Genomic DNA, 16,618 nt, shown 5'->3' with positions numbered 1-16,618 from the left:
TAACACAATTAGATTGTGATAACAAGTGAATTTGACAAAGCATTGTCTTTTTAATCATGGTAGTTTTCCTTGGAGATACGACCCAAGGTTGTGTTCCACATATTCTGTAGACAGAATTTTATAGAACCTTTGCCAACACTTGTACTCAAGTTTCTAAAAATTACTAAGTTGTTCCAAAAATAAAACTCTTAATGTATATTAAACTCAGAAAGCTGTTAAATTGATGACAGGCATCTTTACATGCACATTAATGGGTTGGTCTTATTAGAAAACAAGATCACTTAATTATGGCCTCCATTTTATCACTTAATTTACTTGATTATTGAAACCAAATAAAATCACTATTCATGTGTCTCTGACACTTAAAAAAAGGGTTAATTATTACACTTTATAATATGATTAATGGTCATTTGGATCAAAATGAAAAGGATTCCTTTTCCCCAGGAATTAGCAAAGAAGAAAGGGTATTAGGTTGAGCAATTTTTCAAAATCAATGCAATAAATGCAGTTATCTAAATAAATTGCAGCATCTTACTGGAAGATAGGTAATCTATATTTTCTGAAGCAGAAGTAATTATTCTACAGTTTTTTTTAATTTCACATTGTAATGGAATAAACTCGATATTGATGGAAGTGTGAAAGAGTTGTGGAACATTAATATATTTGTAGCATAATTAATTTGTAAATGAAGCTAGAGGTAAGAATATTAGCTCATAAGTGAACACTATATGCCAATATTTTATTTAGCTTAATATCAGGTTTCATTTATAAACCAGTTATTTGACATTCATGTAAATCATTCCACTTGTTGTAGAAATTATATATATAATTAAGCAACAAATACACTTAGGATGCTGAACAATTAGTTTTCCAGTTGATAGCATGTGTTCTACCTCTAGATCATTATCATGTACCTTTTCTTTTTGACTATTATAATCAAGATTTGGCAATTTAATGAATATAAATTATGGCAGGTTAATAATAATCAAATATAATTTGCTCCAGCTAAATTTTCTAATGTAATTTATCCATAATTTTTAAAAATCATCTCTGGTTATGTGTCTTTATTAAAAGTCAATGTTGGCAATGATTGATGGGCATTAGGTGGCAAAGTGATTATGTGTATTTCATTTAAATATTTTCAGTCAGAATTCTTTAAGAATACTATGCAGAAATACTAGCATAGTTATTATCGTCCACGATACATTGAGAGTAGAGATGGTATTCGCTTCATCTTTTTTTTTTTTTTTTTTTGAGACGGAGTCCCGCTCGGTTGCCCAGGCTGGAGTGCCCTGGCGCAATCTCGGCTCACTGCAAGCTCCGCCTCCAGGGTTCATGCCATTCTCCTGCCTCAGACTCCCGAGTGGCTGGGACTACAGGCACCCGCCACCACACCTGGCTAACTTTTTGTATTTTTAGTAGACACGGCGTTTCACCGTGTAAGCCAGGATGGTCTCCATCTCCTGACCTCATGATCTGCCCACCTCGGCCTCCCAAAGTGCTGGGATTACAGACGTGAGCCACCGCGCCCGGCCGGTATTCACTTCATTTTAAAGAAAACAAAATGAAGTTTTCTGCTTATAAAAAAGATATATTTTCTTCAAGGTAAAACTGTTACAACTAATTATGCTGTTTCATAATCCATAATAATTATCTACTCTATTTTCATGAGAGGTAAAATTTAATATTACAAAACAATTAAAATCTCCAATTTCATGATACGGTCTTGTTTATCCTACCCTAAAATGTTTCTCCTATTCTAAAATGACTGAATATTATATAATATCCTATTAATATTATACTACAATTAATTTAAAGCACAAATAAGACAATATTTATTTCAATTTTATATACTTTGATCAGACCATATTTTTATTATAAAGAAAGATAAATCCAGATTTATTCATTACCTAAAGTCACCAATATATAAGAATATAATTGATAAATGTTTTCAAAACCTGTTGCTAATAATAAAATAATTTTACATAAAAAACTCAGAATTGAAAGGATAACCTTCAGTCCTTTCTGACAATTTGGTTAATTTTATATTTAAGTTTGAATTCTGCTAAAAAGCAAACTAAAAACTAAAAATTCTCCTCTTCGGTGTGTCTCAGCAGTAACAGTCCCAGTAGTAACAATGGAGAAGCATTTCCTTTCTCCAATACCACAAATGCATGATGGGATGGGTAGTTTTCTATCAACTTGGCTAGGCTATCATGTCCCATTATTTAATCATACACTAATCAAGGTGTTGCTATGAAGGCATTTTTTAGATGTGGTTAGCATCTATAATCAGTTGACCACAAGTAAAGGAGATAATCTTCAATGTGGGTGTGCCTCATCCGATTGCTTGGCAGGCCTTAAGAGCAATAACTGAGGCTTTCCATAGAAGAAAAAAGTCAGCTTCAAAACAGCAGCATCAACTGCTACCTGAGTTTCCAGCCTGCAGGCCTCCCCCTACAGGCTTCTGACTTGCCATCCCCAGCAATCACGTTCCTTAAAATAACTGTTTTTTCTAGAGAGATATATAACAGGTTCTAATATATTATAGGTTCTGTGTTCCTGGGTCTCCCTACTTCCCATAAAAAGAGGGGTCCTGGCCAGAGGAGCAGGCCTGAGAGGTATATTAGGCCCAATCAGAGATGTTTAGAGATGGACAGAAAAAATGCCTATCCATTTCCTATCCATTCGGGGTATCAACCAGCATGACTGAGAGTAACAACTTCAGAGGATGCCAATTAAAAGTGATCTCAGAAGGCCAAGAGAGCAAAGGATACACTAGACAGGCTGGGATGCTTGAAAGCATATTTGGCATATTTCTGAAACTCTACACAGAGGCCAGTATTACTGAACTTTAGGGTTTTCAGTTTATTCATTCATTAAAGGAATATTCAGGTTATTACTATGTGCAGATTGCTGGTGGTTACTCGAGATATTGTTAATGGAAAAGACATCAAGACCTCTGCCCTCAGGGACTTTGCAATCTAGTTGGAGACTGGGAAAAGACAATAGATAAAGACATAATTAATTAGTAGTTACTGCTATGAAAAAATAGGGTAATGAAAGGATTGGGTGGGGAAAGGCGATATTCGGCAGGGTAGCTGGGGAACATCTCTGCAGAAGGCTGAAAGCTGTAAACAGCTAGGAGAAGAGAACACCAAACAGAGCTAACTGCAAACACTTAGGCCCTGAGATGGAAATGTGTCTTCAATTTTGGGGAAAAGAAAGGAGGCCAAAGTGGCTGCAGCATAGCACACAAGGGTCAGAGGTAGATTAAGTTCTAGAGAAAGGCGATACACTGATCAAGTAGACCCTTTAGGCCATGGAAAGAAATTTGGAATTTTAAGTGCAATGGAAGTCATTCTAGGATTTTAAGTAAAGGAGAATAATGATCAAATTATACTTTTTAAAAGGTCATTTTGCCTCTTCTGTTGCTTATGGAATGAGTAGCAGGAAGTTACAGAAGCAAACAGATCAGCTCTAAGATTATTTACATTCAAGGCATGGGATTTTGGTGGGTAGCAGTGTGGATGGAGAGAAATGAAGAGTATTCATGTTGGAAGCAAATTCAATATGGTCCACTAGTGGATTTGGTAAATCAGAAAGTTACCCAAGGTGATGTCTAAGCTTACTTGAATTAGGATAAACTTGTAGTGCAACTGAGTAGGAAGGTGAATAGAAAACAGGGATTCCACTACCAGCTCTCTGTCGGTGTGGCTTTAGGCAATTATTCTAACTGTGACCCTCCATTTTCCCAGCCCCAAACAAGAGTTTACTACATAGAATTCTAAAGTCTTGCCTAGCCCTGACATCTCATGAATCTCTGGAAAGATTATAACTGCAGGTACACTGAACAAAGACTTTTTAAATATCTCAACATTTGGAGAAAATAGGTTTCCCTATTATACTCCCTGCTTTATTTCCCTTTTATTTCTCTCACTAGCAGATCAGACTAAATTCAATAAGAGGAGAAAAAGTCAGCATACTGTCTATCATTCTGACTCATCCTTCATGGCACTCATGAACGCTCTCAAATTAGCATATAGGTGATATGTGAGCAATACCAGAATGCTAAGCCAGGAGAACTCTTCTGTGCTATGATGCCCACAAAAATCAACAAAGACAGTTACAGATGACCTCCCCCATTTAATTCCAAACATTTTAAAAATTGTTTATTTCCTTCTATTTAAAAATCTGAATATGAAAAGCAGAACATCTTTGATATTCTACAAAGTCCAACAACTCAAGTATCACAGATCCATATTGTTCCCTGCATTTGGAATGATCCCCAAAACAGCCTGTTTTATTCAATCACTCAAATGCTATTTTTCCAAGAGATATATGCTCTTCTTGGTCCTGGGTTTATAGCTTGCTGATTTCTCTTAGGGTCCAAAAGCATGCAACACAAGCATTGAGAATAGAAGCAGTTGTAGAATTATGCCCAGTAGGATGTGGTTTTACAGGTGTACTGTTTTGAGACATAGGAAGGGCGACTTTTTCAGAAGAAACAAATAGGAAGCATCAGAAATAGCAGCATGTAAATAACTCCTACTAGATATCAACCATTTTTCTGTGCCTTTTTTTGGGAGTCTCTACTATAAAAAACATTTCAATCTATGACTCTCAATTTCATACCTCTATGAACAAATGTAACACCCAAAACCTGCTTGTATGTACGAGGAATTTAAACACAGAGTAGAAGGCATTTTGTAGTGGCAAATTCTCTCCACTGTGAGGAACATTCATTCTGAGTAGAAATAAATTCTTATTACTATTTGTGAAGGAATGTAGCATGAAGTAAAGTCAGAAAAAGGAAAGCAGAACATGGAGGAAACTTGCTTGCACTATTATCTGTGAGTATATAATTAACTTTAAAAATATTTTCCGAAAAGAACACTGGGTAATAGACGACTAAAAGCAAGAGTATACTACACATTTGAAAAATATAAATGGAGGACCCAATGCCCTGTGAAGCACAAATTTCTGTTGGCATTTAAGCTTTCAACAGGTGATAAAAATAATTGACACTGTTTAATACCGGTGATGAATTTTGATACAAGAGCTTTCCTGGAAGTTAGTGTTACAGAGAATGAGCCATGTGGATAGGCCCACTATGGCAGCAAAGCACACAGATCATGTCTTTCTAGTGAAAGCAGAGTTTGTAGACTCCCTCCAACAAATCAAATCTAGTGTAGAACTTGAGCCTCAAAGTGGAAGGGGATGAATGACCTGCTAATGGCATGCAAATCACTGCTGAAACAATCAGGACTTTTATAAGAACTTTCGTCTGATATTGAGCAATATGAAAAATACTGAAATATATTATCAGAGATAATATTTCTTTGAATAAATCAAAGAAATCATTTTAGAAAACACTGTTATAAATTCTTACAATTTCATGTTGAGTTGGTGATAACAACTTACATCTCTACAGAAGGATACCAAAGATTGGTTTGGAGACTACAAGTAGAATCAGAGGCTCAAAGCCAGAGCTGATCAAATGATTCTGAAATTCTAACTAATGTTTCTGTGTTCTAGCCATAAAGTCACACAATATTTCAAAACTCTGTCAAGAAAATGCTCTGCTTCTTAAAAATGGATTATGTTACAGCGACAAATGAGAAAAATACTTTATATTTAAACAGAAAATGACTCAATAATTATTATGAACTAAAAGATGTAGCAGACAATTTATAGCAAAAGAAAAGAGAATAGCCAATACACAAGAAAGACGCTAACTTCATGAAGTAATAGCAACTTAAAAATCAAAAATCAATAGAAACAAAACACCATTTCATCTACAAAACTGGCTGTTTTTTCTAAAATAATTTTTCCAAATGTCAGCCAAAACAGCAAATTATAAAACAATATGCACAGTATGATTCCAATCTAGTTAACAAACAATTGAATAAGAATTGAGATAGGACACTGGAGAGGCCGGGAACGGTGGCTCACACTTGTAACCCCAGCACTTTGGGAGGCCGAGGCAGGTGGATCACGAGGTCAGGAGATCGAGACCATCCTGGCTAACACGGTGAAACCCCGTCTCTACTAAAAAAAAAAAATACAAAAAAATTGGCGGGCGTGGTGTCAGGTGCCTGTAGTCCCAGCTACTTGGGAGGCTGAGGCAGGTGAATGGCGTGAACCTGGAAGGTGGAGCTTGCAGTGAACCGAGATCGCACCACTGCACTCCAGCCTGGGAGATGGAGCGAGACTCCATCTCAAAAAAAAAAAAAAAAAAAAAGAAAGGAGACTGGAGAAATCTAAATCACAATGTTATCCCCGATTTTAACTAGGTAGTGACAAAATGTTTAAATTCGACATTTTTCTTTCTATTTTTTTCCTCATTTTTCCAAACTTTCCAGAATAAGAAATTTTGCAATGAAAAAAGTATTAAAAACCAGGTCAACTAAAAAGCCTATTGTGCTATTGTGAGGCATTTAACTTTATGATTACTCTTTAGAAATGTTTGTTTAGCAACACCACTTAAAGCACTTTTAATTCCCAGAAGAGATATGCATTCCAAGAGGATGATTACAATTAGAATATTTATCTCATTAGGTGAAGATCGTCCTAATAGAATCCTGTCAACTTTACTGAGATAAATGCGGTAGAAACATTTGGTCACTATAAGACATGCTTTAAAAACACTCAAGCACGTACAACTTACTACGGTGGCTGAAAATGATTCCAAAGATACCCAAGATTTAGACATGTAATGACTGCTTGTTTTCACCTGACCAGAGTAAAAATAACAACTGTTTGCTTCTTCGTTCTCACATCAGATGTTACCTCGCCCCACCACCTGCTCTATCCTTTAATCACATTTGTGGATATTAGAATATTTTCCTATGAAAATAAAGGGTATAGAGACTCCTCATTGCTTTTTTTGTTATGATCATGTAGTAGGGTTGTCAGGATTCAGCTGAAGATGATCTTAAGAAAATAAAAATATCATCAAACAAATTAAAGGAAAAAACTAGGAGATATACTTAAAACAATGAGACTGTTCCAAGGTTTTTAAAACATTATAGGCCAACAGATGACGATGTTTCCAAGAGAATTGCATCAATTAACCTGTATAGGTTCAACATGGCTTCAAATCGCTGTGGATAAAGTAGCTCTAGTTGCTATACATAATACAGGCAAGAACTTTACAAATATTATCTTATTCAGATTGACCTCTTCCTTGATTGGTTCTAAATTAAATTTTAATACATGCATAGAAGCTCTACAATAGAAAGAAGGATCAGAGCTGTGACGGTATTAATAGAAATATGGTATCTCTTTTTATAAAACAAAAAACATATATATGTATGCATACGTGTATATATACAGGCGTACATATATCTATGCATACACAAAAAAACAGGCAACTCAAAAAATAGAAATGGCTAATAGATATATCTCATTGGAAAATCATAAAAGTGCAAAATAAGACTGTTATTATGTCAAATAGAAAGTTAGAATGCAAAATTATATATAAATTCATATAATTATATGTTAATTATGTGTATGTGTATAACTGAAAGAAATATACCAACATGTTAACTGGTTGGAATCATGGATACTGTGAATATTATTTTCCTAATTTGTAAAGGTAGTAAATTCTCTAAAAGAATCTAAAATTATCATTTATTTTTTCATTATGAGAATTTATTTTAACTTTCTGAAAAAGAGTAACTGATATGTCTCACTTAAAATGTCAACACAGCCTATTCTAATCCTGAACTAGATTTTGGCAAGTATCGCCTAAAACTGATCATTAATATAGAAGCCTTCAAATTTTGCTTCAGTTTGACTTTCTTCAACTTATGTAGTAACCCCATTATTGGAACAAATTTCTATCAAAAGTTTAGAGATACATGGACACTATTGAATAAAAAGTTGTTTGGGGTTTGCCTATGCATATTTCCAATGTGTGTTAAAATCAGTGAGATCTTTATATTTAAAGTACACCCACACATATACAAATAAACCCTACCAGGGCCAAGTGTTAGAATATACAGCATGTGGCAATCCAAATATATTTCAAGAGAATAAATTAGGAAACTTCAAAAACTGCATTTATTTTAAATCATAATGATGAAACTGCCAAATAAAATGATGTTCAGCTTTTAATTCTATAATTTTCATTCACCCAAAAAACTCAAAATATTGAAATATTTCTTCCATTAATAACCTGTTCTATATTCTGATGTGGCACTTTATGGAGGAAGTAAAGGAATATTAAAGCAAGCAGAAAAGAAGAGTGGTTTAAAGCAGTGATTCTGATGTCAGAGCCATCTGTGTCTGGATTCTCAATCCTGACTCCTAATTAGAGTTATTTAACTTTCTTAAACATTAACTTTGTCATATATAAAATGGAAATAATTATGCTATATCATATAATTAAAAGATTACATCTTATTATGTACATATGACACTTAAATTGCACATATTCTGTATTAAGCAAACAAAACCGTATTAACTAAAAGCAAACAGTCAATGGCACTGATTCCTAAGCAAATGGAGGAAAGAAATTAAGGAATCCTTCAGCCTCTGAAAGGAGGTCAAGATTCTCTGTTCATTTAACATATTTTTATTCAAATCAGTCAAAGGCAAAGATATTAGTCATGAAATCCAGTATGGGAACAATGCAAGACAGCAAAAGATTACATTATCACTAAGCCATACAGATGGAATCAACAAATAGATATTGTTTTGAAACTTTTCCCTCTTATTTTTAGTTGACACATGATAATTATTCATACTTATAGTATACAGAGTGATATTTCAATACATGTATGTAATGCATAATGATCAAATCAGGGTAATCACCGTATCTATCACCTCAAACATTCATCATTTCTCTGTGTTGCGAATATTGAAAACCTTCTCCCCCAGATCTTTGAAAATATAAATAAATCATCTCCAGCTGTATTTAACCCTACAGTGCCACATAACACTAGAAAGTATTCTTCTTGCCCAGCTATAACCCTGCACCAACCTCTTAACCTCTCCTCTCCTTTCCTTAACCAACCGTTCCCTCTCCTTTCTTCCCCCTCCCCCTCACAGCCTCTAATAACCACAATTCTACTCTCTACTACTATGAGCTCAACTTTTGTTAGCTCTCACATATAAGTAAGGACATGCAGTATTTATCCTTCTATGCCCTACTTATTTCACTTAACATGATACCCTCCAGACTCATCCATATTGCTGTGAATGACAGAATTTCATTCCTTTTGGTGGCTGAATAGTAAGCCATTCTGTATACATACATTTTCTTTATTCATTCATGCTTGCACACCTAGGTGGATTCTATATCTTGGCTATTGTGAATAGTGCTGCCATAAATAGTGTTAACAATAAATAAATAGTGCTGCAATAAATAAATATACAGTGCTGCAATAAATAAATAAATAATAGTGCTGTAATAAATAGGAGACATCTCTTCAATATCCTGAATTTGTTTCCTTTGGATAAATACCCAATAGTGCAATTGTTGGATCATATGGTAGTTCTATTTTTAGCCTTTTGAGAAGCCTCTCTACTATTTTCCATAATGGCTGCACTAATTTACATTCCCATCAACAGGCTATAAGAGCTCACTTTTCTTTGTATTCTCACCAGGAAACATTTAGATCTTAAACTTTGGGGCTGGATAATGAGTAGAAAAACAAGGTATTGCTGGGTCTTTATTGAGACCACATATTCTCACAACTTATGGTGACTAAACAAGCATCTATCACTGCCTTAAGGAACAAGAGAAAAAAATCCACAGGAATAACTCCAAATTTGGTCCATGACCAAAAGTAGAGTAAGTATCTCTAGGAAAGGAGCTTATCCTCCAATGCTCTTAGTTCTCAAGATTTGGTTTCTCTGAGATATCAATAAAAATGGTTAAGTCTCACAATTTCATGGAACAATGACATTTTCAAGAGAGTGATAATACAATTTGGATGTTACCAAGTTTCAAAGCCCACATGTCAATAAGGAAGCATATCACAGAAATAGGGGTAGAAGCTAGAACTCAGGCTGATTCCACTTTTTTTTATTCTGCTCAGATTCAGTCTATCTCAGAACTTCACCAAAAATAACATTTCATTAACAACGGATTGGAAATGGAGAGTTTGCCTATACTGACCCTATATAATCACTGATCTTGCAAACACTAGGAATACTGTTGATTCTGTGCCCTGCAGAGGGACTGAGTCACTGGTAAGAAAGAATTCTCCTTCAGAATTACACCCATGTTGGTTGGAAAAAAAACATTTCCATGGAAGTCAGGACTAACTTGTCTTTCCAAATTCTTAGAACAAAGAACTACAAAAGGACAGTTAAGAATAGCACTCCACCTTCTGGCCGGGCGCAGTGGCTCACGCCTGTAATCCCAGTACTTTGGGAGGCTGAGGCAGGCAGATCACAGGGTCAGGAGATCAAGACCATCCTGGCTAACACGGTGAAACCCCCATCTCTACTAAAAATACAGAAACAAAATTAGCCTGGTGTGGTGGCGGGAGCCTGTCGTCCCAGCTACTTGGGAGGCTAAGGCGGGAGAATGGTGTGGACCCAGGAGGCGGAGCTTGCAGTGAGCTGAGATAGTGCCACCACACTCCAGCCTCGGTGACAGAGCGAGACTCCATCTCAAAAAAAAAAAAAAAAAAAAAAAAAAAAAAAAAAAAGATTATACGCCATCTTATTTGGTTATCTGTTGCTGATATCAAAAGAAAAACTCCCCGCCGCTTTGTTTTTTAAGATGGGGTTAGAGAAGAGTAAGGGTGATAGATATCCTACCTGAATACAGAATAGCCTGAGTAAAACAGAATAAAAAGATCACTGAGCTTCTATATGCACATAAAAGCCTGAGCAGGAAGTATCTGGTCTATTTCTTCCTAGTTTTCTGGTCAACCTGTAATGTGGTCTTAACATATGAGAATGTCCCAACATGTCAATTCTAGACTCTTTAAGGCTAGGTGTATGCTCCATCTAGATTACTTAGAACAATATTTTTCTTATTCAAAATTTTTTTTGCAAAGATTACTTGTTGGTTTAAAATATATATTTTCCTTGTAACATTTCATAGAAAATCACTCCACAACAATAAACATGTTTATGCTGTGAATACAATTTCTTGAGTGTCTACGATACGCCAAAGGGCTGTTCTAGGTACTGTAAACAAAGCATCATCTTTGGGCCAGAAACCAAGTTCTTCAAACAACACACACGAAGTAGAATTATTTTAATCATTAAATCTGCTTCCTTAGAGTAAATCCCAGAAAAATCAAAAGTAATAATAATTAGCATTACATAATAAGAAACCTAAGCACCTTAACCACTAGGAGGCTGCCCAACATACGGAAGATTGTACCTACATATTTGTTGAATAAATAAATGGATGAATGTGTAATATCAAACAAAAAAAAATGGGCTGACCTAGCCAAGATTAAACAAATAACAAGTATTAGAAATACACAGGTTAGAGAATTTGTCTAGTAAGGAATAACCAAAGCCAGTTTTTAAAATGTCTTGTGGTTTTAAAATGTTTGAAGGTTTGTTTTGCGGGGTTACAGGACAATATAGGGAGAAGCAGTTCAGTACCGTGGATAGCTCCCGGAAGACATGCTCTCTAAAGTCTGAAATCTGCTTAATTGCTGTGTCTTTCAACTGCAATCATCTCATTCAAGCGCTCTATCACTTTTATGCCTGATTCACTTCCAATAAGAACAGAATGACTCCTCAACCTCACCCTCACTCTGACACACACAAAACAAATATGCACACGTAGAAGTCTGGCCTATTTGTCAAAATGGAGCACTGTCTGTCTCGATTAGGGGACACGCCTGTCACTTTAGAAAACTGATCCAGGAAATCTTATCTTTTACTGTGTGACAGCTCATCCTAAGAGGGCTCTCTCCCCACCTCGATCTAGGGCAAACAATTTATTGCAGCACCTGATAAAGAAGCTATCTAAAAGTTGGAATGAAATATATTACAGGCTGGGCACCGTGGCTCATACCTGTAATCCCAGCACTTTGGGAGGCTAAGGCAGGCGTATCACTTGAGGTCAGGAATTTGAGACCAGCCTGGCCAACATGGTGAAACTCCACCTCTACTAAAAATACAAAAATTAGCTGCCTGTGGTGTCGCATGACTGTAATCTCAGCTACTTGAGAGGCTGAGGGAGGAGAATCGCTTGAATCCAGGAGGCAGAGGTTGCAGGGAGCTGAGATTGTGCTGCTGCACTCCAGCCTGGGTGATAGAGTGGGACTCCATCATAAAGAATTTAGAAACATATTACAAAACTATAATTCAGCATCATAGACTCAATAAATCTCTTTCTGAGGTAGACTACTATATCATGTTACTACTCCATAAGTATTTACATAAATGACACAACCTAACACTACCTATGACAATAATAATAATTATTATAAAGTAACAATAACTCTAAATTTAAAAGACATTATTTGATATATCCCAAAACAACACAGAGGTGAAGTAAAATATTGACAAATAGGAGACATTCATCTTTACTATTCTACTTCCTTTGCTTGTCTACCGAGTTCCTAAACATTTGTGTGTTTTTATGTTGTGGCAGTCATCCAGGATTGGATATTTATTTACACAGTTTCCCTCATACTAGATTACAAATTCCTTGAGAGGAAGAACAATGTTTTAATTATCTTTGTATCATTTATAACAGCTAACAATATCCTAGATGTGGTAAGTATCCAATAATTATTTTTTTGAATTAAACTGAATTGAAATAGCCCGTCCCTGGTTTATAAAATGTCTGTTGTCAGAGCAGTATGAAGAAGGTCTATCCCTGTCCATAATCTCATTACTGTAGAGAGAAAGAAGGAGGAGCTGCTGTTTCTGTCAGCAAACATAACAAAGAGATTTGGGTCATCTGGAAATAAATATTTACCCCATTAAAAATACCTCTGAGAGAAAGTAATACAAACCATGCCTTTCTGCTGTGAAATCACTGAAGATTCTATTTATGTTTTCTTCTTTATGGTTTTACTTTAAAATCTGCAAAGACTCTGTTAGGAGGAACCAGCAGAGAAGTATAAAAACAGCTGATCACTTGGGGAAAACATAAAGTTAAGAGAAGAGATTCCAAAGAGAGAGAAAATGAAAGAAAGAAGGAAGGAAGGAAATATGGGAAGAAAAGAGGAGGGAAGAAAGAATGGAGAGATGGAAGGAGGAAGGGAGAATATACTAAAAAAGAAGATGCTGTTCAAAGGTGGTACTGGAAAGTAATGAAAGTTGTATCTTGACAAATGGTGATAAGGATAGAAAAAGCATCATCATCCCCAAATCTCACAAGTAGAAAATAAATTTCTTCTTGTCTTCCCATGGATTATATTACACAGAAAAGAGGAAGGATAAATATAGCTTTGTTTTTGTTTGTTTACTTCAGATTACTTCTTGAGTACCTGCTCCAGTGACATGTTTTGGAAGAATTCATTTAGATTGCTTGCAATAGATTCTCAAGTAATTCCAATAACTACTAAGGTTTTCCAAGATAAATTTAAATTGTGTGCTTAGTTTTACCAAAATCAGATATATTGACAATTTTTATTCCCATATAATTTTTTATCTTGAATGTAGTCATCCAACTGCTTTAAAATAGTTATTAACAGTTTGGGGTACTCACTTTAGAAAATTAGTCACTGAGTGAAGCCCCTTTTCAATTCAGCAGGTTTTCTGTTTCATTGAGACTCAATTCTATCAGGTGTTTCTCTTTCAGCATTGAAAATGTCATCCCAAAGGACTTCCAATCCTGTTTAAACACTAAAACTGTGCAGCAGAGCTCCAAATTTCCATGAAAGTGACTCTGCTAGTGAATCTACTTCATTTTTTTCTCCATCTGCAAAGAATAGTCTTGTTTTTCTTTCCTGCCTCAAGAACACCTAATCCTTACATTTTGAAAAAACAGACCTTGAGTTATTGCCAAGGGCCTTATTATAACATAGCTGGAATAATCTGCTATGAGTGCTAGTTGGTGCTATTGTTCTTTACACATGCTTTTCTAATTCAGATATGATTGGTTATGAGCTATTTGCTGAATATTGAAATTTAATATAGTTAGGTTCTCAAACTACCTGTGGACAGATGCCTGTGAATTACATGGGTGTGAGAATTAGAAACATGAGTAGGGCTTTTTAAAGACTCCTTGCTCAACATTAGGCATCATTTTTGACTTGTCACATTTGCTATCTGTGGACTCAGAAAGCAATGCGACAATGGTTTCCAAGTCTAGGTTTTGGATGGGGCTGGAAGTTTTAACAGCCTCACTGTGAACATGTGGCATGTTCCAGACTTCTCAGTGAGGGAGATTACTGCAAAGACTGAGGCAAAGGTGAAACAGGACAGTCTGTAAGGCCAAGACGTAAGTCCAGAGACCATAGAGAGACTTCAATGTCCAGTACAGACTTAAAGAAAACAAAAATAAAGATCTATCATAGTAATGGCTTACTAAGCCCTACAATGAACAGCAGTATTAAATTTTTACTAATCTATTAATGAAACAATTTTTTTAAAATCTGAGTAGTCAGTTAAAAAATAAACCAAACTTTTCCAATTCTAAAACCAATAATGGTTGTGTCATGTGATTTGGAATGCACTAGACAGAAAACTGACAAATTCTGATTTCTTTTTTTCTGTTCTGTTTCTTTGGCCATGTGCCATTAAACAAGTCATTCAACCCTCCTGTGTACTGGGCTTCTATTTTGTCATGTGTAAAACAAAGAGCCTGGACTAGAAAATAACAAAATTTACTTCCAGGAATAAATAGGCATTCATTTAGTTTGAACATAAAACTGTATTACATTTGAACAGCTAGGAAAAGAGAAAAAGTTCTGTGTATTAATATATGTGTTCTAGGTTTCTGAATTTATACTCTAGTTCCTTAAAGAGTAATGTGCTTTTCATTCTAAATAATAAGAGGTGACAAGGATGAGCACTAAGACCCAAATAAATGAAAAAGGTCATGTAACTAGTTCCAGGTCAGTTTTCTCCCAAAATCCTACAAAGCTATAAGATGTGGAGGGAAAAGGCCAACCTGGCTGCTGCTGGCTTGAAGTATGCCAAGAAATTCCATCACAACTCCTTGGAGCCAACCAAGGAGCTAGAACATGTAAGCAGTGGGAGAAAGCTTCCCTCAGCACTCAACATCAGAAGCCCAAATCAGAATGTGAAGTAGGCTGCCAGGAGTTGAATTTAAGTTACTAGAAACACAAAGGGCAAGAGTGCTGCCTTCTTCATCTCCCACTGTATTCCACGATTCTGTAGCGAAGGGCAAGACTAGAGCCAACCTGAACTCAGAGCTGTGACACTGCCCGGGCAGCCATGAGATCCTAGTGAGACAGGCCACCAGATGTGAATACAGCAGCCTAAAACATCCAGCAGCAGGTGAAATGAAAAACAGCTCAAGAAAACCTCATGAAGATCCAGCCACTGAGAATGACATCTTTCGTAATGATCAAATCTAAGTTTGGTCTACTGAGACATTTTACTTCTCTAAGAACAGAATACATTAGATAGCATTAGGTAATATTGTGAGTGACAGAGATACAAGAAAGGCAGAATAAATATTGAACGTTTATCTTGAAGGAATATGTTTAAAGAATATTCTTGATAGGAGGTGGCAAACATTTTCTATTTCCCTATGGTGTTAATATAGCAGACAGTACTAATGAATAATTACTGATAGTGATAATTATTTATTAATAGCAATAGTGTTTTATGTAGTACCTAGGTACTACGTCCTTACAAATTTTCTCAACTGGCAGGTACTATCAACTGATCTGAGTTGGCATGAGGAGGAAAACCTATTTACTATCTCACTATCTCTTCTTTTTTTCTTTCTTTTTTTTTTTTTTTGGCACAGTTTCACTCTCCCACCCAGCTGGAGTGCAGTGATGTGATCTCAGCTCACTGCAACCTCCACCTCCCAGGCTCAATGGATTCTTGCGCCTCAGCCTTCCCGGTAGCTGGGACTACAGGCACATGCCACCATGCCTGGCTAATTTTTCTATTATAGTAGGGACAGGGTTTCACCATGTTGGCCAGGCTGGTCTCAACTCCTGACCTCAAGTGATCCGCCCACCTCAGCCTCCCAAAGTGCTGGGATTACAGGTGTGAGCCACCTCATCCAGCCTATTTGCTATCTTTTCTACAAGAGAAAAAGAGTTCTGTGCTGAGAATCATGACCTGCTCATCCTTCAGGCTCCACCATTAACCACCCCTGGACAAGGTGTCTCATGTCTCTGGACCACATCACTCTTATCAATAAAATTTGCACGGAAGGGTGGGCTATCTCTCAGTTCCCTTTGTGTAGCCCAGCCCTAGATATTTGCAACTTTAAGCAGTGGGGAGTATTGATGAATAATGGAGGAAAGCATGACTGTCACATAGCTCAAAGAAATGAAGTCATGTGTTGAAATCATAAAACATCATCATTTTTCCCTCCTAACAGAGCTACAGATGCTAATTTAAAAATTCTCTATTGAACAGTAGTTATTTAAACCAATAAATGTATTCTTGTGTAACTCCTTCACAGATGAGGAATTAAATGTCCAGAGGGGTTAACCAATTTGCCTAAAATTATGTAGGTAAATCTGCA

The 16,618-nt window shown here is 36.0% G+C and overlaps 1 protein-coding gene across 10 annotated transcripts in view, besides 1 other annotated feature; it reads right to left on the bottom strand.

Moving 5' to 3' along the window:
• The window catches only part of NRG1 (neuregulin 1), a 1,134,802-nt gene that overhangs the window by 966,965 nt on the left and 151,219 nt on the right, over positions 1-16,618 (bottom strand). The gene's annotated exons all lie outside the window — the stretch shown is intronic.
• Positions 11,475-11,769: a silencer, noted in NCBI's record as "tiled region #7305; HepG2 Repressive non-DNase unmatched - State 24:Quies, and K562 Repressive non-DNase unmatched - State 10:DNaseD". NCBI's record gives its function as "represses a minimal TATA promoter and a strong SV40 promoter by Sharpr-MPRA in HepG2 and K562 cells {active_cell/tissue: HepG2 | K562}" and the evidence as "EXISTENCE:reporter gene assay evidence [ECO:0000049][PMID:27701403]".

Source organism: Homo sapiens, chromosome 8 (genome assembly GCF_000001405.40).
Source record: "Homo sapiens chromosome 8, GRCh38.p14 Primary Assembly".
Lineage (NCBI taxonomy): Eukaryota > Metazoa > Chordata > Mammalia > Primates > Hominidae > Homo > Homo sapiens.
This window is presented reverse-complemented; position numbering and strand designations above follow the sequence as displayed.